The sequence below is a fragment of the Homo sapiens genome, chromosome 8 (genome assembly GCF_000001405.40).
Source record: "Homo sapiens chromosome 8, GRCh38.p14 Primary Assembly".
In the NCBI taxonomy this organism is placed as follows: domain Eukaryota; kingdom Metazoa; phylum Chordata; class Mammalia; order Primates; family Hominidae; genus Homo; species Homo sapiens.
Window position 1 is genome coordinate 116,013,967 of NC_000008.11, and position 25,518 is coordinate 116,039,484.

Below are 25,518 nucleotides of genomic sequence, written 5' to 3' on the forward strand. Positions count from 1 at the left end.
CCCTGTTCCTGCATGAATCAATAATTACTTTGTTCCTTTTTATTGCTAAGTGGTATTCCATGTTACTAATATACCATACTTTTTATATCCATTCATTAGTTGAAGGACATCTTGTTTCCTATTTATAGTACAAATATTATATTATAAATAAAACTGCTATACACATTCACAGAAAAATTTTTGTGTGAACATAAATTTTATTTTCCTTTAGCAGATGTCTAGAAGTGGAATTGCTGGGTCATATCACATATGAATATTTAACTTTATAAGTTCTCCAAGGTGTTTGTACTATTTTGTATTCCTACCAGTAATATATGTTTTGAAACATCACTTGATTCCTATCCTTGCCAGACCAAGTTTTCCTGGTCTTTCCTTTTCTTTTTGGTATTCCATTAGACTTTTTTGCAGTATTCTTTAATACCATGTTCATATCTGTGATGTTGTCTCCTCTTTGGATCCTGATATTGGTAATTTGTATCTTATTCCCTATTTTTGGAATAAGTCTGGCTAGAGATCTTTAAATTTTATTGATCTTTCCAAAGAATCTTTTTGTTCCATTTCTTTTTTCCTATTATTTTTCTAATTTCATCAATTCGTGTTCTTATTTCTAGTCCTTCCTTCTGCTTACCTTGGATTTAATTTGCCCTTTTTACAGGACTCTAAAGGTAAAAGTTTACATGAAATAATTTGAGACCTTTCTTCTCTAACATAAATACTGATTGTTGTAAACATCCATCTAGGCACTGCTTTAGCTACAACCTACAAATTCTGATCATGTTGTGCTTTCATTTTTATTTAGTTCAACACATTTCTTCATTTCCTTTGAGACTTCCTCTTAGACCTTGTTATTTTACATTGTACAGTTTAATTTCCAAATATTTTGGGATTTACCAAATACCTTTATGTTCTTGATTTCTAGTTAAATTCCTTTGTGGTCCAGAAATATTCTACTTATATTTTCTATGCTTTTCATTTTTGTAATGTGTGCTTTATGGCCCAGAAAACACAATATATTGGCAAATGTTCCATTTACAATTGAAAAATATCTGTATTATGCTGTTCATATGTGGAATGTTCTAGAAATGCCAGTTAGGTTTAAATGGTTCATAGTTTTGCCTATTAATATAGCTACTCTAGCGATTTTTTGGTTGTTGTTAGTGTGGTATTCCTTTCTGCATCCTTTCACTTCCTGTCTGTCATCTTATTTAAGGTTGGTCTCTTGTAGACAAAATACAGTTAGGTCTTGCTTTTTCATTCATTCTGATAACCTCTGTCTTTTTAATGATGTTTTTAGCCTATTTAATTTTTGTGTGATTGTACACATATTGGAAATTTATTTGTTCCCTCTTCTTCCTCCTTCTGCTCCACCTCCAATTTTTGGTCAATTAAACATTTTTCCATTATTCCATTTTATTTCTTCTATTGACTAATTATTTACATCTTTAAAAATTTTACTGGTTTTCCTAGGGTTTAAAATAAACATTTTTGACTAATCAGAGTCTACCTTCAAATATACTGCTTTAAATTTACAATATGACTTACGACAATATGTCTCCAATTTTTCTTTTCTATGCTTTGTGCTATTTTATCATACAATTTAATTTTATATATTTATAAATCAAAATGCTTTGGTACTATTTTTGCTTTAGAAGGTTATCTTTTATACCAATCAAAAATAAAGAAAATAAAATTTATTTTACCTTCATTTGTTTTTTTCTAGAAATCTTCATTTCATTGTTCAGTTCAAAATTTCAGCCTGACATAATTTTGCTTTAGCCTAAAAAAGTTTCTTTCACATTTCTTGGAGACTAGGACTTCTTGCAACTGAATTCCCTGAGGTTTTGTTTGTCTGGGAAAATATGTATTTGTCCTTCATTTTTGAGAGATAATTTTTTGGGATATAGAATTCTGACTTAATAGCTTTTTTTTTTCTTTTACCACTTTAAGTTTGTCATTTCATTGTTTTCTGACTTGAAGTCTGCCATAATTCTTGTTCTTCTGTATGCTATGTTTCTTTTTCCTCTATTTGCTTCAAGATTTTCTCTGTCTTTTGTTCTCAACAGTTTAAATATGATATGCCTAAGTTTAAGTGTGATATGCCTCTTCTTCTTCTTTTTGGAAGTGTAGTTTGTCGTCTGTTATTACTTTACGGAAATTCTCTGCTATTATTTTTTCAAGTATTTCTTCTGCCTCATTCTCTTTCCCTTCTGTTTTTGGGATTCCAGTTACACGTACATTAGAAGATTAGACATGGTAACATTGCTTTGGATATTCTGGGGCTTTGTATTCCTTTAACAGTTTGGGTAGTTTCTGCTGACTAGTCTTCAAATCGACACTTTTTCTCCTTTGTGCTGACTTTATAGATGAGTGCATTGAAGGCATTCCTTGTATGCTACTGCTTTTTGTTTCTTTTTTTTTTATTGCGTTTCCATGTGATTCTTTTCTATAGTTTCCATCTGTTTGTTGAAATTATCCATCTTGATGTCTACCTTTTACATTTGAGCTTCAACATTTTATTTATAGTTATTTTAAATTCCATGTCAGATATTTCTAATGAATGTCTCATACCTAAATCTAATTCTGATCATTGCTTTGATTTCTGGGAATATGTTTTCTCTTGACATTTTGTGTGCCTTATAGTTTTTTGTTGAAAGTTGATCATCTCGTAAAGGGCATTACAGAATGAAATGAATAGATTTTATTCCTGAAAATGAGTATGCCTTTCCCTGTGCAAAGCCTTTAATGTGTGGGTTTGGATTGATCTGGATATGAGGATTGTTGTTGCTAGACAACACCACATTGCACTTCGAAAGTGAGATAGGGCGTGGGAAGGGGTGAGGGTGGCTGGGCATGGGGAAGAAGAATCCTGGGGTGCTTCTTGCCTTCCTTGTGTAACTCTTGTTCTTCTCCCCTACTTTTACATCACAGTGAAAGCTTTCTGAAGGCTCTTTTGGTATTTGCAGTGAGCACCCTATGAATTCATGGAAAAAGAACCTGCAGAAAGGTACAGCCTCTACTAGCTTCTCAAGTACACAGGAGCATCACAGTTCTACCAGCCCGCATTCAGCCTTTGTCAAATGTTCCATTGTCTCTACCCCAGGTAATTCTGAGCAAGGGCTTATCTCACCTCAGGATTTGTTCTAGTTGCTTGTGTGCCACCTCAGCTGTCTGATGGGCTCACCAAAGCTGTGAAAATGTAAAGTTAACCTGGCTCTTATTCATCGTAATGATGGGAGTGATGCTCCTTCAGCTTATTATATCTAAGGGTACAATGCTTTTTTAATTAAATAATTACACAGTAAATCTTCTAGTTCATATCTTTTAATTAGAAAAAATATTTCCATTGATGTTGAGATTTAAACAGTACATATTGACATTTTTAACAAAGGAAAGGGAAACAGTTTCAGATGCTGAAGCTTAGCAGCTCTGCACATGTGGGAGAAAATAATCAATTTATTTCAGCCTATTCTGGGCTGAAATGTCGTTTAAGTATAAGGCAGGGTTAGCGCAATACTTCCAGTGATAAAACTGAAGCCGACAATGAGACAGGGATGATGTCAGAATGAGAGTCAGAGGATACTTCTCTGTCACCCAAAACTAAGGCTGAACTTCCAATAGCTTCTCTGTCTTTACTACATTGTCCTTAATAAAATGAAACAGCTACAGATAGTAAGAAATTTTATTATTCCCAGGTATCTTCTCTTTTGTCATTAAGGGATCAAACATTTTTTCGACCATGCATTCATTTACATATTTTTTCTTTTTGAAGAACATTCGTTTTCTATCTAATGGCATACACTCTGTATAGTGTGGGAATATGCAGTGAACAGGACTTCCTAAAACAGCTCAGATAATAGAATACAGGAGAATATACACATAAATTTTGTGACAAATAATATAACAGAATTGCACATAGCAAGATTCAATGCAGCCAAGGAGAACTTATATATTATAATGGTGAATAGAGTGGGTGCTGGAGTTAGGTTCAGTAGGTTTGACTTTTGTCTCTCTCACTAATTATACAACCTTGAACAACTTACTAATTTCTTCAGGACCCTCCCTTTAAAATGATAGTAATAATAATGGTATCAATTGATAGAAATGTCATGAAAATTCGGTGTGTTAGTTTTAAGTTGAACCATATGAAATTGTCAAGAATCCACTCCTTTTGACCTAGAAAAATGGCAATTTCATATGGTTCAACCTTATGCATTGTAAGTGCTCGGCATAGTGCCAAAAGGTGGCGTAGGGGATTGAACTGTGTTCCTCCTGCCTCAAATATGTTCAGGTCCTGACCCCCAGTGCCTGTGGATAAAACCATATTTGGAAATAGGGTCTTGGCAGCTGCAATCAAGTTAAAATGAAAATTATCCTGGATCAGGGTGGACACTAAATGCAATAATTGGTGTCTTTGTAAGAGAAAGGAGAGGGTTATCTGACTTCAGAGACACAGAGGAGACATACAGGAGGAAAGTCACGTGAAAATGGAAGCAGATACTAGAGTTATGTGTCTACAAGCCTAGGAATGTCAGGATTGCCACCACCAGAAGCTAGGAGGAGACAGAAAGGATTCTTCCCTGGAGTCTTCAAAGGGAACATAGCTCTGTGGAGTTTTTGTTTTGTTTTGTTTTTGATCTTTGAGTTCCTATCTCTAGAACACTGAGATAATACATTTCTGTGGTTTTAAGCCATCAGGTTTTTGGGAACATGTCACAGCAGCCCTTGGAAACTAATAGAGATGTCGATTTTCAGTACATACTATCTATAACTCATCATTAAAACACAGAGGGGAAATGATTCATTTTGACAGAGAAGAAGACATTAAAGAAAGACTTCAGTGGTGATTATTCGGAAGAAGTAAAGGTCCTTCCAGATGAGGGAATTCCATAAACAAATGTATGAAAAAATAAGCGTCTGCTTACACAAATTTGATTGCAATGTCTAAGAGGAATAAAGAATGATGATTCTAGACATGAATAATCTGTGGTAGGTTTCTTATGCTATGCTGGAAATGTAGTTTCTGTGCTATTAGCAGTAAAGTTTCAGAGCCATTTTTTAAAACTATAAGAATCATGTAAACCAAAAAATATTTTCTAAATATCAGTCTGGTAGCAGTGTATGGCTTAGATGGGGGTGGAGGAGGCTTCAGATGGCTGTTGAAATGGTCATGGCTCAGGACCATGCAGGCCCAGAAGGAGAACAGGAAAAGAAGAAGATAAAAGAACTATTTTAGATGTAGAATTTGTATAATTGCAGATTATTTGGAGTGACTGAGAGGAATAAATGATAATTATTTCCAGATTTCTAGTCTAAAATATGAGTGGATTGAAGTAACATTTACAAAGAGATGGAATACACGTGAAAGAATTTCTTTAGTGAGAATTAGAGAAAAAGTGAGGTTGAGGAAAATATCCAGGTAAAAATTCCTATAGCATTTGCACATGTGGATCTGGACATTTGGGGAGAGTTGCTTACTGGAGTTACAAAGTTTTAGATAGAATTTGAAGGAGTAATGGTAGCTGTGCTGACCCAGGGTGATTGTGCAGAAGGAAACAGTGAAAAAGGTTGAGCAGAGAAAGGGGAACCTGTCATGAAGACTGAAAAGTAGACACACAAAAGTGTAGCCTGAGGATGGGAAGATAATGAAATGGCAAAACTCGAAGCAGAAATTTCAAGGAAAGGGCTCTGTGAAACTCTAGAAGGAGGATGTATCAGTCAGGATGTGTTGAATTATGTTGTGATAACAAACAACCAGATTTACAGTGGCTTCACACAGTAATTACAGATTTGCACTTCATGTACAAAACAAGTCACTGAGAGGATAGAGATTATCATAGTTACTCAGGGACTAGGCTTATGAAGTTTCCCTCTTGACACATACATAAATGATCACTGAAGCCCAAAAAAGGGAATATAATGAATCATGAATGGCTCTTAAAACTTCCACATGTAGTGACACATGTTACTTCCACTAATATTTCATCAACCAACCAAGTCACATCCCAATGTACCCTAAGGAAGGGGACTTTAGGAAAGAAAAAAAAGAGAAGATTTTATGGAGTTCCTCTAGGAAATAAGAGGAGTTGGGGATGAGTTACAAGCAAATACATTGTTGAATGGGACTGAATGATGCCATCAGATAAGGACCATCAATTTCCAATAGATAGAGGCAACATTTTTACATCATTTTTTTCTTAACATTTTCAGTGGCTCTTTCAGAGGAAGAAATGGACAGGAAATTCAATTGACATAGGTTTGTAATTGATCCAGAAAAAGGTCACTCCGTGAGGAAAGTAGGTTTTCCTGTGACAGAATAGTTGGCAAGGGTGACCACAAGTTCTGGTTAGGTTGAAGAAAGAAACAAAGACAAAAAAAAAAAAATAGGACAGATACACTGAAAAATAGGGAAAGGCCAAGGAACTAGAGATCAGGATGAAGTTGAGATACATGTTAAGAGGTTGTAAAGGTCAAGGAATATAAAAAGCTTTTTGTAGTTTCAGTAGTTTGAGAGGTAGGTATGCAGGTGGTCTGATAAAGGCAAATGAAGAAGTAGTTGAATGAAAAGGAAATTAAAAGATATGTGGCTAGTTTCCTAGTATTTCTTCACCTCATTTGAGAAGCTCCCCACTTCTTCAACCTTAGATTTAGTTTCATTTTAGGGTTGTGTGATCAAACGTACGACTAGACTTTACTGAAAATTAATGTACTTCAATCAGCAGACTTCAGGCATTGGAACAGGTATGAGATATGAGATTGAATGATGTGAGATTGAATCCTGCTCTAACTTTTATTAGTGAATTAGCTTGGACAAGTTATTTACCTCTCACTTGCTTCATTTATAAGTGATAGTTTTTGTTCAACAAATATGTATTGAATATCTGCTTAAAAAATGTGTATTCATAGAATGCCTACTCTGCCAGGCATTCTACTTTGTCTGGAATGTAGTGAGCTTGCAAATATAATGACTTTGCCCTTCATCATTGAAGACCCAGATGAAAAACTGAATCTCTTAACATGGATCTCTTAACATATCCAGTGGGGCAAATAGCCCTTCTTTTTCACTTACATAATCCCTATTACTGTTAGACAGCAATGACCCCAGACACGAAAGCTGAACTATGGTTGATACTAACCAGTATTGTTAATTTGGTTTCCCTTAATCAGTAATTGATCTAGAGGTGAGTACATGGCTCAGCTCAAAACAATTAGATGTAGTATGTGTCATCTAGAGGGCTTCTAGGAAATTTTTCCCTGATTAAAACAAAAAGTCAATGAAAATTAGACATTTTTTTCTTAGTTGAGGTTTGGTTACACAAGAACATGATGTTAGAGCTGCAGCCATCCTGAGACCATGACAGAAAACCCATGAAAAGTACCAAATGAACTCTTTGATATTATGGAATGATTACCTTAAACACATAAATTTAGATTTTACATAATGTGAAGTAATTAAATGTTTTTGATATTTAAATAATTATGAGTTAGATATTCCGGCACACAAAGTCAAACATGTGAAATGATTCACTCAGTGAGAATTAACAACTTCCTCTGCATTCTTTCAGTGTTTTACACCTTATATAGCTATTTTTAGCTCATCTTTAGGATCGTGTGCATATGTGGTTTGTATATGTGTGTCCTTTAATAGATAGACTATAAACTTTCTTTAACAATTTATTTCTCACTTTCCCGCAACAAAAGTAGTTTCAGTAAGGAAGTTCTCCCATTTCATAAAATGACCTCTCATCTACCCAGATCTACCACCCTAAAACATAGAGTCTGTTCTCAATTACTTAATTTTTCTCCATCCACATCCAATCCTTCCGCAAGCTCTGTCAGTTATATCTCTAAAACGCGTCTAAAATCTATCTCCACTGTGACCTAGCCCAAGCTATCATCATCTCTGGCCTCCACTATGGCAACTGATGTCTAAAGGTTGTTAGGACTCAGCTATCCTCCCTCCAGATTATTTTCAATAAGGCACTTAGAATGATCTTTTGCAATTAATTGTGAATGAAATCATAGCCCCTTCCCTTCCAAATCTCTCATTGTACTAAAAGTGCAAAATCCTTGCTTCTAGGACAAGGCTATAATATCATGGTCCTGGACTCATCTCATTTGCCACACTTCATATCATCTAGCCACATCAGCCTTTCTTTTGTTCTTTTTCCTGTCATAGTGAGTTTGAACTTGCTCTACCTTCTGAACCACTGTCAAAACCACTTGCTCAACTGTCTGAACCACTTTTCCCCACAGCTCCTGAAATAGCTGCCTCCTTATTGCAGAGATCTCACCTCTGTGTCACCTTTTCAGAAAGGTGTTCTTTGATTAGCCCCTGCACAATAGGAATTCCCCTCTCACCCTCATTTCCTTCCCTTTATTTCCTTTATAGCTCTAGATACAGACTATCTGATATTGACTTGTTACCTATTGCTTTTTTTGGTTGTTTGTATATCTGTCCTACCCAACATAGTATAAGTTCCAGGAGATCAGGGACTTTTTCTGTCTGACTGGTAATGCTGTGTCTCTACACTTAAAACAATCCCTAGTGAGAGATATGTTGAAGGATACAAAATTACACCTAGACAGGAGAACAAGTTCTAATGTTCTATGGCACTGTAGGATGACAGTAGTTAACAATAATATATAGTTTCAAATAGCTAGAAGGAGGATTTGCATGTTCCCAACACAAATAAATAATAAATGTTTGAGATGATGAATATGCTAATTATCCTTATATCCCATCCAAGTATTAACCAGTCCTGACCCTGCTTAGCTTCCAAGATCAGACGAGATTGGGTGCGTTCAGGGTGGTACGGCCGTAGACTGATTACCCTTATCTGATCACAATACATTATATATATCAAAACATCACTATGTACCCCATAAATAGGAACAACTATTACATGTCAATTAAAAAATAAAATAAGTATATAAAAACGGATCTTAGTGCATAACTGATCACTAAATATTAGTTGAATGAATAAAATTTTGTTCTCCTTTCTCCTGTTTATCCGCTCCAGTGTTTACCATAGAGATCTGCATGTCATGAATACTTGAAAAATATGTTTGTTCAAGATATCTTTTATTAAACATCTTTTATACGCACAGCTTTGTGTAAAGCACTGAGGATACACTGGTGGAAAAAAAAATTAAAATCCTATGTTTCTTCTAGCTATGTTGTAAAATATTCAGGAAAAGTCTTTGCCTACCCATGTAAGCTGAGGGACCTTGATTTCTGCTGATTTCCAAGGTGTGAATGTAGTTCAAACGCAGACAGCCTTAATTTTCAAGCTTAAAACAAATGTACTTCCTTTTTTCAATGTCAAATGAATCACTACATTTTCAACACTTGATGAGCCTTACTATCATGAAATATTCCACAATTAACAAAAATATTTAGACAACATTCATTTGTAGAATCATAATATAAAGTAGTCTCTGTTTTAAAAGGGAATACTGCCTAAGGCTAGTTCTTACCAGGAGTTCTGTGCTTCCACATTACACATGCCTTAATAGTTTGTCTGAACTCGACAACAGTTTTTAATCCTTGGCAATGCAAGTGTTTCTCTTACATTCATGAATCTCAGTGATCGCTTCTGGTTGCTGATCTCAAGTATACAGCTTCTCCTTTCTTTTTATAATGCTTTTATTATAATTCCTGTTAACCCCTTACTTCCAAGAGAGTTGATTCTTTCAGTTAACTGCTTTCTTCCTAAAAAGATGATTTTTCTTAAGAAAAACAAAGACTTGAAATGGAATAGGAAATGGTTCTTATTTACCTTCAAATAATCACAGATTAAGATGTAACTACCAATAATGGGTGAGAACTCAATGAACATACAAGAGAGGGAACCAACCTCATTTTATTATTCTTACCTCTTAGATTCAGTATTATATTCAACTAGTATATAGGAAAAAAAAGATGACTTTACTGAATCAAATATTTTTGCTGTAAGTCCATTTTGTCAAATATCTTAAAGAGTAAAGAGATATTTGGGTTATGCACAAATAAAATAAGTAAGTATAATTATTTATAATATGAAAAGAAAAAAAGACAGCATATTTACTCAGGTAGTGAGTAATAAAAGAGTGGCAGAAGTATCATGTAAAAAAAAAATCATCACAACTCTCCAAGAAAGAATCAGAGTGAAAACTGGGATACTAGTTCTTCCAAAGATTTGCAAACAATGGGAGAGAAAGCTGGAAAGCTACGCAGACCTAGGAATAAGATACAGCAGTCTCAAAGGCAAGAGAAGGCTTTGTAGATCGTCATTTAAAAAGCTATGGATGACAGGATGACAGGAATCTATCTAGAGCTTGACCAGTGTCAGAGGTTAGATAAATGAGTTGGACAAGGGCATTAAAGAAAAACAAGCATCAGTTGTTCTGAGGTGTGGTTGTTTGGCAAGAATAAATCAATTACACATTTTCAAACTAAGCAATTTAATGTTAGGTACTTCATGTCCCTCTTCTCTGTGGAAGCCTGAATTCAATGACTGGCTGATTTGGGGATATAACACAATTCAATAAGCCAATTTCAAACTAAGCAAATTAATGTCAGTAGCAGGATGGTGGATTTGGGTTTAGAGTTTTATTAGTAAACTCCTACTCATCCTTTAAGACCACATCAAATATATTGACTCTCCTTTGAAACTGTGTGATAGATTGGACTGTTGCTTCTGAATCTTTAATCATACACCCTTTGTAGAATTTGCATCCATGGATTTCCCATGTGTTTTTCAGTACCACCCACTAGTGAGGGTGGGGCATATTTTTTTGCCCTATAAATGTTGACTTTGGCCATGAGGCTTGCTTTGGCCAATGGAATGTTAGTGGGAGGATGGGACATGAGCAGAGTCTTTAAACATGCTTATGTGATTTGTGTTGTCCTCTTGCGTCGTTGTAATTTGTCATAAGAGGAACACACCTCAGTCGTCACTTTCCTTCAGCCAGGTCTAAGAGTAAAGACACATGGAGCAGACCAGATCATGACAGGAAGCTTGGAGTCCAGCCGATCATAGCAAGCCCAGATCAGCTGAACCACCGCTGACTTGCAGAACTATGAATATGAAATTTCACATTTGTTATCATAAGTCACTGAAATTTTGAAGTTCTGTATTACATGGAAAATTGGCTACTTCACCTTTTTTAACACTCCCACATGCAGAATTTTCTGTTTCCTATAATATGTTCCCATGGTACTCTGAATCGGTATCTATTATAGTACATTGCAACTAGTAGATTATCTTGTTCAAACATCCATTTCTCCTAAAGCACTGCAAGCAACTTTTCCATTAGGGCATATTTTATTGCTGTTTTTATTTCACCTGCTCTCAAAGTGAAATACTATCTAGCTCAAGGTAAACAATTGTGTTTATAATAGATCTGCTTTCTATGTGAATATGCACAGGAAAAGGTCTCGGGCATATTTGTAAAACAAATCCAGTCTGAGATATTTTGAAGAGTCCATAACCTACCCACCATATATTGTCTTATTTCAAGGTTTAAAAAAATCTCCATTTTAAAGATAGAAGAAAAAAAAATACGATGTTATGAACGGAATATTTGTGTTCTCCCAGAATGCATATGTTGAAATCCTTACCCCAATGATGTGGGGATTTTAGAGATAATTAGGCCATGAGAGCAGAGCCTATCTGGAACAAATGCCCTTATAAAAGGAACCCAGAGAACTCTCTTGCTATCTCTTAGCCATGTGTGGATATAAGAAAAGTCAGTAGTTTGCAGCCTGGAAGAGGGAATTCACCAAATCCCAGCCATGCTGGCACCTTGATCTCAAAGTTTCAACTTCCAGAACTGTGAGAAATACATTTCTGTTGTTTATTAGCCATTAGTCTGTGGTACATTTTTATAGCTGCCTGAAACTGACTAAGACATAATGGAAAAAAAAAGTTAAATAAACTATGTGGTATCACAAAACAATATTTGTATGACATTCATAACGTTAGTACTGCCAGTTTAAATGTTAAGACAATCCTAACTTATTCTCATTTTTGGAGCCTATTAAAAAGCTAACTATTACTCTATTCTGGTTCTGCTCGTGCAACACACTTTTATGTTGCTGAATAAATTCTATTTAAACATTAGCTTCTGCTCATATAAACTATTTTTGAATAGATGAAAAGCAGTGATAAAACCAGTTCCTAACTCAGAGGCTGAAGTTGCCCACACAACTGAATAGCTGTGGATGTAAATACATGTCAGGATGAAAACGTGAAATTTTTGTGTACCACTTAGAAAACAATTTTTACATTTAGTCCTGAATGTATAGTTAAAAAATCAGACTAGAATTTGATGTATAACAAAGTGAAAGTCACAAAACTCTTAAGCCCCAAATTGTCAAGTAGAGTGATTTCTAGTTTTAAACAACATAGGTCCATTAGACTATTGGATATGATTCCTGTTTTATTAGAATTGTAAGACTATGTATTAATTATTTACATAGGACAGTTCAAACACACTGTCCAGTGAAGTGCCCTTACTGTTTGTTAAACGGTAGTTGACGCTATGCCGCATTGCCCACATGTCCCATTTAGGACTCCAGTTCTTTTACTCTGGGAGTTACTTTCAACTAAAGAGGAACTCTTCATGTCCCTCTTCTCTGTGGAAGCCAAATTCAATGACTGGCTGATTTGGGGATATAAAACTGGACCCATGGCCCCAAGTTGAGACAACTCTAAAAGACCATCTCAGCCTTCGGGCTCCTTGTGGGGTCAGCTGAGACTTCCACTGAAATTAATATCAAAGCTCAACTTCACCCGCTGCCCAGTAGTGCTGTCTTCACTCCTCCGTGTTTGCTTGTCACAAGAGAATTTTGTAACAAACTTCTTCAACACTAATCTCTATCTCAGTGTCTCTTTCCTGGGCACCTAACCTACAACACATATGATGTCCAATAAATGCAATTTAACAGCATTAATTAAATCTATCTTAATTTTACTGGAAACTGGAAAAAAAAAGATAAAATCATGCAGTATTGCCCTCCAAGAGCTCACAGTTTTAATGAAGAAACAGACATGTTAAAACATAACTACCGGCTGGGCGTGGTGGCTCACACCTGTAATCCCAGCACTTTGGGAGGCTGAGGTGGGTTGATCACCTGAGTTCAGGAGTTCAAGACCAACCTGCCCAACATGGTGAAACCCCATCTCTACTAAAAATACAAAAATTAGCTGGGCCCAGTGGCACATGCCTGTAATCCCAGCTACTCTGGAGGCTCAGGCAGGAGAATCACTTGAGCCTGGGAGGTGGAGATAGCAGTGAGCCAAGATTATACCATTGCACTCCAGCCTGGGTGACAAAGCGAGACTCTGTCTCAAAACAAACAAACAAACAAAACTATCATACAATGCAGTAAGAGCCAGAGGAGAGATGAATTGATCATCACTTCATTTTTGTATTGTGATTTGTGAAAGTACCAGTGACTGCCCCATATGACAAACTAAATCCCTTAAAGTTAGTCAGTGCCCTATGACTAATTCTAGCCAATGGAGTAAAAGCAGAAACGACATATTCCAGGTCCAGGTGAAACATCTTTGAGCTGGAGGTGAATTTTCCATCTCTCTTTTTCCCTGTTATGGCAAACAAGAAGCCTCAGTTGAGATTTCAGCATAATGAGATAGAAACAGTCTGATCATCAGAGTCACCAGACCAGACCCACAGTGGCCTTTGCATAAAATGAATATATATATATATATATATATCTCCCTGATATGTAATATATATATATATATCCCTGATATGTAATATATATATATATCCCTGATATGTAATATATATATATATCCCTGATATGTAATATATATATATATATCCCTGATAAGTAATATATATATATATATATATATATATATATATATATATATATCCCTGATATGTAATATATATATATCCCTGGTATGTTTTTTATATATATATATCCCTGATATATAATGCCATAAGATTAGAGATTTGATAATGCAGCAAAACCTAGACCATTCTGAATAACATATTACTTTTTATTTATACCAATTTGGCAAGAAAGATGAGATTTAGAGGAAATTTCCCAGACCTATGATATTCAAACTATACACTAAGTGCTTGATGATTGGTTCTTATATAGAAAAGAAAATCAATCTTCCTTAGAAAGAGGAAATAAACAAAGACGTAACTCGGTGGATCAGGAAACGATAAGTTGTTATAGGATTTTAGAGTTTGAACTATTAATCCAGACTATGAAAACTGTGAAAATCTATGCAGTTTTTGCGTGTGGGCGCACGTTTCTGGGAATAATATGTCTTCAAGAATGTTCATAGCATAGTTTAGGTGAGATTCAAGGGTAGGAGATATGGGGAAAGAGAAAATTAGCTCGAAATGAGGACAAGGAGTTGGAATTTAGGAGGACTAGGCACACGAGGACTAGGCAACTTAATTTATTAAGCTGAAAATAGCACTATGAGATGTCTTTTGCTCAGTTCATTTTCTTAATTTACTATTTGGTTCACAGTAGGAAAAATGCCCCCTATGACTCTCAGGACAATGTCTAATCTCTTTTATTTATTTACTTTATTATTTATTTATTTATTTATTTATTTATTTATTTATTTATTTTGAGACGTAGTCTCGCTCTGTTGCCCAGGTTGGAGTGCAGTGGTGTGATTTTGGCTCACTGCAACCTCCACCTCCTGGGGTCAAGCGATTCTCCTGCCTCAGCCTCCTGAGTAGCTAAGATTACTTAGCACATGCCACCATGCCCAGCTAATTCTTGTATTTTCAGTAGAGACGGGGTTTCACCATGTTGGTCAGGCTGGTCTCGAATTCCTGACCTCGTGATCTGCCCGCCTAGACCTCCCAACGTGCTGAGGTTACAGGCATGAGCCACCGTGCCCGGCCATCTAATTTCTTTAACTTGGACCTTTAGGCACTCTAGAATCTAGGTCTCACCAACTTCTCTAATGACAGTAGTTTGGTGCCTGAGCCCTGAAGAGTGACTGTGTAAATCTGAATCCTCGCTCTACCAATAGCTAGGTGTCATACATAAAATAAGGATAATAACACTACTTACTTAAAATGTTTGCTGAGATTAAATGAATAAATAGATGTAAACTATACTTAAAACAGTGCTCAACATAAGGTACAAACTCAATATGTTAAGTGTTTGCATGTGCTGATCCCTCAGGCTTCTCGCCTCACCCACCCAGTCCCTGAAATAACACCCATTCATTTCTCAATTCACAGAGTAGATGGTACTATTTTTCGCAATTCACAGAGTAGTTGGTCCCTCCACAACTCAGTTAAGTAATTATGCATGCGCTTTGAGAATACCCTGGACTTTCATGTATACTGTAGTATAGTTTAATCATATCTTTATGTGTGTGTGTGTGTGTGTGCACCTGTGTGTATGTATTTGCATATATGTATATATGGACTTCTGATTATACATTCTCTAAAAAATGAATGTTATAAAAGAATTTTAGTAGAAAAATGATGGTATCTGCATATGTCTTAAGAATCACTCTGAAAGTTGTATTGGAAAGAGTTTCCATGGGGAAAAAAAAAATCTCTAAACCTGGCTCAACCTTTTAGAAAGAAGTTACAGAGGTCTAGGTGAGGAACTATGGAGATGTGGACTAGGTTAGTATTTATGTAATTGTGAGATATGGTTGGATTCTGGGTAAATTTTGAAAGTGAAGCCACAGAATATTCTGATTGATTGAATGTGGTACGTAAGAGAAATAAAAGAGTTGAAAGCTATTTTAATTTTTTGTCCTGTGTATCTGGAAGGATAGGGTAGTTGTCTATTGAGAAAGATAAGAACGTGGTGGAATAGCTATTTGGAAACATAAACAGACTTAAGTTTTGGGATGCTGAATTTGGGACATATATTAGACATCCCACTGGACATGATGGGTAGGCATTCGGTTATGCCAAGACTGAACTTCCATAGAAAAGGAGTTGGGATATTTAAATATCGGAGTTGTCACCATACAGATGATCTTTAAAGCTGTAAGACCAGATGACAGAAATAGGGCCTGAATGTAGGAGCAGAGAGAACCGATGTCCAAGCCTTGTAGATCTCCAACATGTAAGTGTTCAGGGAGCCAGACAATGATCTAACCGTAAAGATTATAATAGAGCAGTAAGCAATGGAGAAGGAAAACTAAGAACATATGGTGATCTGAAAGACAAGTAAAATGAATCTATTGAGAAAGAGACTTCTTTTACTTCCTTTTTAAGATGGGAGAAATAGCAGGATGTTTATATGCTGATGAAATGGCCCAGTAAACAGCAAAGATTAATGATGCCAGAAAGGGAGGTGAGAATTGCTGTAGTGCTTCCCTTGAACAGGCAAGAGGGGTTAAGATCTGACACACAAGTGGAATGGCTGAATTTAGATAGGAGAATGAATAGTTCATCTCTGGTGTCAAACAGGAAGGCCACATCTGGAGGTGCAAGGCTGGTAGCTAGGAAGATGTGGTGGAGGAATTTGTGAAAGTTCTCCTCCTTATTTCTATTAGTTTCTCAGTGAAATAGGAAGTAAGGCAATCAGCTGAGCCTCAGTTTCCCTATATGTAAAACTAGAGTGGTGGATGGAGCATATTTCTATGATTCTGTCAGTGGGTACTAATTGCAAAGCACACACTCAAAAAGATTCAAGAGCTGACTATCAGCTCTGCATATTTGATTAGTAGGAAAGAACTTAAGAAGCACAATTATTACTATTATAGTCTCATAAAATGACAAATGTCCTAAGTTTTATTACATTTTGCTAGTGTGACACCCCCACAGTTCCTGGCACATTTATGATTTCTATAGGAACAAGTGCAGAAACTGTCTTGGAGATTGACACAGCCCATCTGTTTTAAAATAGCTTGTGTTACAAAATGCCATATTTTCGCCTAACATCCTCTTACACTGAAGCAGACAAAAAAGTTGGTATTATTAAGATATTATCTTTTAAAATATTTATCTATGTAGGACCATGATCTTTCTTTAAACACAACTAGTTTGATGGTAGATAATTGGTTAGTTCAGGTTTTCTCCCCTAATGCAGGATCACTAGTGATTGACTAATGCTGCATACCTCCTTTCCCTTTAATAACGAGTCTAAAATTAATTTCTAGTAACAGATAAAAATAAAGTGTTATGTCTGCTTCATGAGGATATACTTTCTGTTCAAAATGTTGGTTTTCTTGACAGAAGCTCCAATTAGAGACTGAAGCAACTACAGAAAAATACAAGGGATTTTCAAAAATTATGATACAGGTACAGCTTTTGAGTCAAAAAAAAAAAAAAACTGCTTTAAAATGTACCGGGTTTTTGTTGTCGTTGTTTGAAGTTTGATACTCAGTATTTTAATATTTAAGGTAAAAGAGTCTCGTATCTTCTATGTAGATGAACTGCCTGCATTTCAATTTAAAGTAATGATGTGAACAATTTCACTTCATTACTTCCAGCTCTAGCTTCATAGTGTCTATGTTAATGCCTACCAATGAAACATGAAAAGAACAAAGACTTCTAATTTGTATAATGGGCTTGAGTGAGATGGTTGCTTTCACCTCATGGATGAACACACTATGTGATTTTTAAAAATTGTTAGAACCCAGAAACATATGGTATGTCAACACCACGTGCCACTCTCAAGCAAATATACTGGAGAGAAGCAAAACTCTTTTCATCATGCAGTGTGTATCTTGTCAAAACACAGTTACTAGGAAAACTCATGGTTTCTATTTCAATAGGTCACAGATTTCTGTCACTGAGTCTCTTTTCATGTGAGTATAAGAAAATAGTAAAGTTGAAATTTCTAATCTTTCAAAACCAATTTGTGGTACTTTTACAAATAATATCAATTGAATCTGTTCAGGTTAAATGCAACAACGAAGTATGTGAAAAGATCTAAGAAGATCGAATGCCTGCAGTAGAGCACAGTGTACACTGTACCACAGTGGTACAGTGGTATCTACAGATTCATACAATGTAATCTGCTAAGGCATTTTATAAGTATTGGGTAAAGTTTTCAGCGACTTCGAAGCCTAGCACTCACACGTATATTCTGGCAGATGAATAAAAAAATATAGGTAATTGTCCATATTATCTACCGATTTCATTGTGTATGTTTTCCACAAGTATCAGTCAGCTATTGAAATGAACGGTACATTTGTCTTTGTTCCTTTTAATTATAATGTATGTTTTCCTTCCTGAATTTGATATTGAAGCATGTATTGTAAATTACTTTAAACAGGAAGACCCAAGGTTTGCTGCAGATAAGATAATTTCATCCACCACCTAAAACATGCAAGGGTATCTGGATACAACAAAAGAAAATGAGACTTATTAGAAAGCTGTTCAAATAAATATTTATTTCAAGTGACCTTCAGACTAACCAGATTATGGTTCTAAATATTTTCTTATTTTGATACATTTAGTAAACATAGCTTAAATATTTTTATACCACATTAAATAATTGTATTTTTAATGCAGACACACAAAAATATATAAAAAGGAAAGTTTATTTTAAGTCCATAGTTTTAAATGACATGGTTACAATGGACTCCTTTGGGTATGCCTATATAAAACAAATACTGTTCCTTAAATTCTTTAAGGAACGGCATTTGTTTCACTTTGAAACAGGCAATCTTGTAAGTTGCTGCCAGTGGTATATGAATGAAAATACAAGTCAACATATCTGTATATAAGTGAAAAATACTCAGTGAGTTTATCAAACTGTTTATACACTTGAGTCATATAATCCCTATTTCAGATTTATTGACTCATTTATTCAACCAATATTGATTTAGTGATTATCATTCTATATGGTTGGAGATAGGGAGTAGGAAGAAAACAGCTAAATTCTGGCCTCATGGAGCTTACATAAAGGAAGACAGAAAGAAGACACCACAATATTTAAATATCCAAGTTATTTTAGATTGCAATGAACACAAACCGAAATGCTAAGTTAATATAGAAATGGTAAGAAACACTAGCCAAACCATGAATCATCGTTTTGAGTTCACCAATACAGAAAGTTAATAGTTTGTTTAATCAGTGCATTTTACCATTGGTAGTCCACGGGAATATTTGTCGCATCAGGCCTCCTTTTAAAATATGGTGTATTGTATAAAATATTTATAAAACCAAAAAAAGACTAATTTGGTAAATGAGATTGATTAAAGAGAATACGTTCCATGGATTTGTTCATTTTCTTTTATATTTAGAATGGCAGTCATATTGGTAATTGTAATATATCATCCACAACTGCTGTCCATATTTATAACTGATCTCATGTATATTGAGCTCCTGATCTAGGCCACTAGGGATTGAAGGATGAAATAGATAGATACAGCCTCTGTTCCTACATACTCACATGCTAGTGGAGTAAGGCAATGAGTGAAATAACAGAACCAACTAGAAAATACAACTTGTACATAATTGTTACAAGGAAAATAAATTAGGATGATTGGAGACTACATGCATTTTAGAAGTAAACCGGTTTCAGATTTTGTGAGTGTGTGCGAATGATCCATGTTGAAGATTAGCCCACCCATTTAATTTTTTTTTTTTTTTTTTTTTTTTTTGAGACAAGAGTCTCGCTCTGTCACCCAGACTGGAGTGCAGTGGCGTGATCTCGGCTCACTGCAAGCTCTGCCTCCTGGGTTCAAGTGATTTCCCTGCCTCAGCCTCCCAAGCAGCTAGGACTACAGGTGCACACCACAACGCCTGGCTAATTTTTTGTATTTTAGTAGAGACAGAGTTTCTCCATGTTGGCCAGGATGGTCTTGATCTCCTGACTTTGTGATCCACCCGCCTCAGCCTCCCAAAGCGCTGGGATTATAGGCGTGAGCCACCATGCCCAGCCCCACTTAAATTTTTATTCCTGCTTTAATTTTTTTTAGTTCAGAGAACTTCAGTTTTCAGCTCTGCCATGTGAAAAGCTTAGAAGTCATCACTTCCATCCTTACAAGTAAAAAATCTGGACAAAATGAAAAATCAATGATCTTTCTGGGACCCAATAAATCAAACTGCCACTTCAAAATCTGGAGGGACAAGTTTACCCTGATAAGTACAACACAAAAACACAATCCATGGAAGAGTGAATGGCCAAGTTGGGTTTATTAAAATTAAAATTCTTCAACACTGTGACTGTCACTGTTCAGAAAATGAGAAGACAACCCAAATACTGGGAGAAATTTTTGCAAAAAGACTTGTATACAAAATATACAAAAAACTCTTACAACACAATATAGTAAACATCCAGCCCAGAGGAGAAAAAAATGGGCAAAGAATTTGAACAAACACTTCACCTAAGAAGATACACAGATGACAAATAAGCATATGAAAAGATGTTTAACACTGTCATTAGAAATGTGAACTTAAAAATTAGATACCACTATACACCTATCAGAATAACTGAGGTCTGAAACAAATAAGTATACTAATTGCTGGTAAGAATGTGAAACAATAGGTTCTCTCATTCTGTGCCGTTGGGAATGCAAAATGGTACACCCACTTTGGAAGACAGGCAATTTCCTACAAAGCTGAATATAGTTTTACCATACAATTTAGCAATTACAATCTTAGGTATTTACCCAACTGATTTGAAAGACTTATATTCACACAAAAACTTACACATAAATGTTTAGAGCAACTTTATTTATAATCTCCAAAAACCGGGTAACCAAGATGTTCTGACTAGGTGAATGAATAAACAAATATCCTGACAGTGAAATATTATTCCATGACAAAAAAAAGGAATATGCTGTCAAGCCACCGAAAACTATGGATACATTCTGTATTAGCTGTTCTCATGCTACTAATAAAGACATAACCAAGCCTGGGTAATTTATAAAGGAAAGAGGTTTAATTGACTCATAGCTTCACATGGCTGAGAAGGTCTTACAATCATGGCAGAAGGCAAAGGAGGAGCAAAGTCACATATTACATGGCAGCAGGCAGGAGAGAGAGATTATGCAGGGGAACCTCTATTTATAAAACCATCAGATCTCATGAGACATACTCACTACCATGACACAGTATGGGGAAAACTGCCCCCATGATTCAATTATCTCCACTTGGCCCCACCCTTGACATGTGGGGTTATTACAGTTCAAGGTGGGATTTGGGTGGGGACACAGCCAAACCATATTACATTTTAAATGCATATTAAGAAGTAAAAAAAACCAGTCTGAAAAGGGTACATACTGTATAAGCCCATAGGACATTCTGAAAAAGGCAAACTTGGAGATACAATAAAAAATATTAGTGGTTGCCAGGCATTCTGCAAGTGGGGAGAGCATCAGATATCAGGTGAAGCACAGGGGTTTTTTTTTTAGGTCAGTGAAACCATTCTGTATGATAGTCTATGCATTTGTCAAAACCCATAGAACTTTAACATGGTGAACCCCGTCTCTATTAAAAATACAAAAAAATTAGCTGGGCATGGTGGTGGGTGCCTGTAGTCCCAGCGACTCGGGAGGCTAAGGCAGGAGAATGGCATGAACCTGGGAGCGGAGCTTGCAGTGAGCCGAGATAGCACCACTGCACTCCAGCCTGGGTGACAGAGTGAGATTCCATAAAAAACAAACAAACAAAAAAAAGCATAGAATTTTAAAGCACAAAGAGTGAATCTTATTGATGCAAATTTTAAAATATCCTTTAGGAGATCATGGAATTCAAGAATAGAATGCAGAATGTAGAATATGACAAAATAACTGTATTATAGATATATGAAATGACGTCACTGAAGGTGATGATGGGAAAGGACCTAGATAGCTTTAGACATGAGAGGAATATATAAGACCAAAGGCAAAGTAATCACTTTACTCTAGCTGATAAACTTGTGTCCCGATAGGGTATGAATTAAAAATTCTGGAAACACCACCTATTTATTCAGATCTTGGTTCCTAATAGCATTCTTAAGTGAAAAGAACCAATGATCCTTGGTGACATAGCTCCTTCTAGGACTGGGACAGGAAATGTGCAAGATAAGTCTGGGGCATTTTATACTGAAAGAAGTGCTGAAAACTATTTTTTTACATTGATAGGGCTATCTCAAAAGGACACAGGAGCCTTCTGAAAGAGTTCCCAATAACCAAAGCTGTAAAACTTTGAGAAACAATATCAACAAAATTGGATTATAACTTAAAGTATAAAATAAATACCCATACATTCATACTAAGATAAGAAAATAAATAAATAAATATGAGACAGAATAGACAAATAGCCCTAGTAGAAGCATTCAAAAAAATTTACATAGATACCCTACCCTTAAAGAGATGGAACACGACTCATTACTGCTTAAATGTGGGATGCACATAGTGACTTCTTTTCAAAGAATAAGCAATGGAAAGGGAGGAAAAGAATAACTCTGTTGTGAAGAAACTCACAAGTCCTACCTCAGTAAGGTGCTAGTGTGCACCTTTGATGTGGTATGAAGAGAATGGCACTTTATATCTGTGGTTTTTCTCCCTACATCCCATAACTCCAGTCTGATTAAAAAAAACAAAACAAAACAAACAAACAAACAAAAAAACACCAGACAAATTCCAGTAGAGGGGGTTCTGTAAAATACCTGACTCCTTAAAACTGTAAAGGTCATCAAAACCAAGGAAGTCTGAGTTTCATAGCCAAGAGAAGCCCAATGAGATGTGACAAACAAATGTGATGTATCCGGCTTAGAATCCTGGAACAGAAAAAGGACATGTGGTAAAAACTAAGGAAATCACAATGAAATATGGTCTTCAATTAATAACGAAAAAAAAATGATTCTAGCTCCCTTTCAGCAAACTGCTCTCTATCCTTCCTCATTACCAGAACGTTCTGGGAACACAAATATCTGTATAATCACGGGGATCAGAACTCCCAGGAAATGGAGATTTCTCAGGAAATTGATCATTCTGCAGAGGATAAAATCTTAATAAAATGGATTATCACATTCCCTACTTTTTCAAATAGCACAGACTCAGCCTGATTTATTTTTTTCTTGATGACTCAGGACTTTATGACAATTATTGGATAATTTCTAGGGATTTTCTTAGGGCTCATTTACCTAACTTCAAGTACTTGTAAGACAAAGGCAGTATCTCTCTCTCTCTCTTTTTTTTTTTTTTGTGAAGCATTTACACATAAGCACAGGTGATATTCTCTGGTAAGCACTGAATTCAGTGTGATCTCTCCTGTGTCTGGCTTTGTATTGCCTCTCCTTACTCTGGGTGGCTTTGTGTGGAACTATGTGGTCCAAACTGAGACTTCCTATGATGCAAAATCTTGTAACTGCTCCTCACCCCACTGTGTTGCAACTATGACAAAAGACACACTATCTCTGACTTTTGGGTTATTACTATGGAAGCCTCGATAGCTTCCTGTCTTCATTTGTCATGGGAGGGATGTCATTGATGACTTTATGCCAGCTACTTTTTTCTTTCTACCAGATCTTTCAAAGATAACCATGTGGGATTGTTTCTGCGGAAATACCATTTATAGGGAAAACATTTCTTGATGACTTTAAACAAAGGAATGTTCCTCTAATGACTATATAACCCTTTACCCTGATATATTTTTATAACACTTATTACCACTGGATTTACAAGCTTATTTGTTTACTTGCTTAATGTCTGTCTTTCCTTTTGAATGAAATTCATAAAAGTCAGGCCTCATACCTTTCTTGTTTCCTGCTCTAGACTCTATGCTTATGACAGAGCACAGTCAGGGAGTATTTGTTGAATAAATGATGATTGAACTTTCTAAGGTCATGGTGTACCTTTGTGTTTCTGAATTTTTGGCGGAGACGTCTCTTGGTTCTGCCTAATCAACTTTCTCCCCTCTCACAATAGATAGATACAATAATTATTGCTAAATTTGGCTTATTAAATAAACCGTGATTGAGGGCCTGTGATGATCTCCGATGAAGAAGTGCCTGAATTTTGTGTATGGAATTTATGACATCAATCTTGGCCACCCAAAGGCCTTAAAAATTTCTTTGCCATGTTCTGAAGATTAGATGTGAACTTGCCAAATTGTTATGCTATGAATAAAAGAATAGCTAACAGTTACTTTAATTTAATCCCAAACAAAACATGCTCAGTACAGGAAGTATTCTTGGAAGAAAAAAATGTAATACATCCCAAAGACAAATATATTCTTTTAAAAAATTAAATGTTCTTTTTCTTAAAATCACATATCCATGTTCTCCTCTTTAAAAAGTAGAAAAAAGAGAAGAATAGATTAATATTGACAAATGTCACTAATTTTATTTTCCTAAAACATTCTCAGATCATGAGTAATATGCTCATATCCACAGGAACCACAGGATAACAGATTTTTCCTCAGGCCACATTGCCCCTACAAAAATAATTTTAACAGGCTAAACTGTCACTCAATTTAGAGTAGTGCAAAACGCATTATCCTTTTGGCAATAAGCAATTTTTTCATTAGTAGCCAAGATTGATCATTGTAAAGTTCCTTTATCTTTTTATGCACTACTGTTCCAATCAAGGTAGTATCACAAGGTCAAAACGAATATAAAAGCCATCTTTATTCAAAATATATTAACAAAGACAGTAGGAACACTCTGTGCATAGCCCAAAAAATCAAACACACCAAAACGTCAGAACTGCTTTAATTATGTGAGAGTACCGATTGTTCTTAACACAAATCAAATGTGTAACAAAAGAAATAAAATAGTTTTAGCTTCTTCACACACCTACTTATCTCACAAAATTTATATCTTCAGGGGGCTTGAACTCCTGGTTTTATGCCCTCTCTTGCTTGGTACTCTGTGTATGGAAATTGTTTTTCTCAGATCTTTTCCTTTTGGAAGGACCCTCCTTTGGCCATTGTCATAAATGTTACTCCATTATCATGCAAATGGGTCATATAAACACTGAATGTTTCCTTAGCTGAATTCCTTCTGGTTCTATTGTCTCTTTCTATTTGTAATGGAAAAACAAGATTTTAAAATAATCAAATGAGTTCAGGCTACATCTTCTTTTACATCAGTGGCTCAGTCCCTCCTGTGGGGATGAAATGACCCAAGATGACAGTGTGCCCATTGGCTAATTACTTCCAGGAGCCAAGTACACACACTCAAATTCAAACCTTGGGTCTGATGAAGGATGTTTATAAGCACATCAATATTATAAGTTCCAGCTCATGCACCTAAGTAGAAAATGAGAAGAAGTGGTCATGCAGAAACGCAGAGTAACACAAAAATATAAAATGCACATAACTAAGGTTAATATCTGTAGCAGAATAGCACTAAGACAGTTCATTCGTATACAGAATGTGTTGCCCACTCTCACGGAAGTGATTTGCTGTGCACCCAAATCTATGCTCTGATGCTGTGTTACCAAGAGGCAACTGTCCATTCAGGAACAATGATTTGCAGGCTCTTGTCCCCACCTCACACCCCAACATGCATCTAGGGGTGTCATGTCTCTAATGTTCACCAGTGGAATGTAAGCAGATGTAATATGAATCTCTTTCAGGTCAGAGGTTAGAAGAAGCAGGTGCACCTTTCATTCA

The 25,518-nt window shown here is 35.8% G+C and overlaps 1 long non-coding RNA gene and 1 pseudogene across 1 annotated transcript in view, besides 2 other annotated features; both read right to left on the minus strand.

The window, feature by feature from the left end:
• Nucleotides 1-25,518, minus strand: part of LINC00536 (long intergenic non-protein coding RNA 536) — a 374,549-nt gene that overhangs the window by 63,456 nt on the left and 285,575 nt on the right. The gene's annotated exons all lie outside the window — the stretch shown is intronic.
• RNA5SP276 (RNA, 5S ribosomal pseudogene 276) lies at nucleotides 8,720-8,813 on the minus strand (annotated as a pseudogene).
• Nucleotides 14,816-14,998: a silencer, noted in NCBI's record as "fragment chr8:117041007-117041189 (GRCh37/hg19 assembly coordinates)". NCBI's record gives its function as "represses an EF-1alpha promoter that drives an FKBP-Casp9 reporter gene in an ReSE screen in HepG2 liver carcinoma cells {active_cell/tissue: HepG2}" and the evidence as "EXISTENCE:reporter gene assay evidence [ECO:0000049][PMID:32094911]".
• Nucleotides 24,488-25,183: an enhancer, noted in NCBI's record as "OCT4-NANOG hESC enhancer chr8:117050679-117051374 (GRCh37/hg19 assembly coordinates)". NCBI's record gives its function as "activates a minimal SCP1, AML or CMV promoter by ChIP-STARR-seq in primed H9 embryonic stem cells {active_cell/tissue: H9 hESC(primed)}" and the evidence as "EXISTENCE:reporter gene assay evidence [ECO:0000049][PMID:30033119]".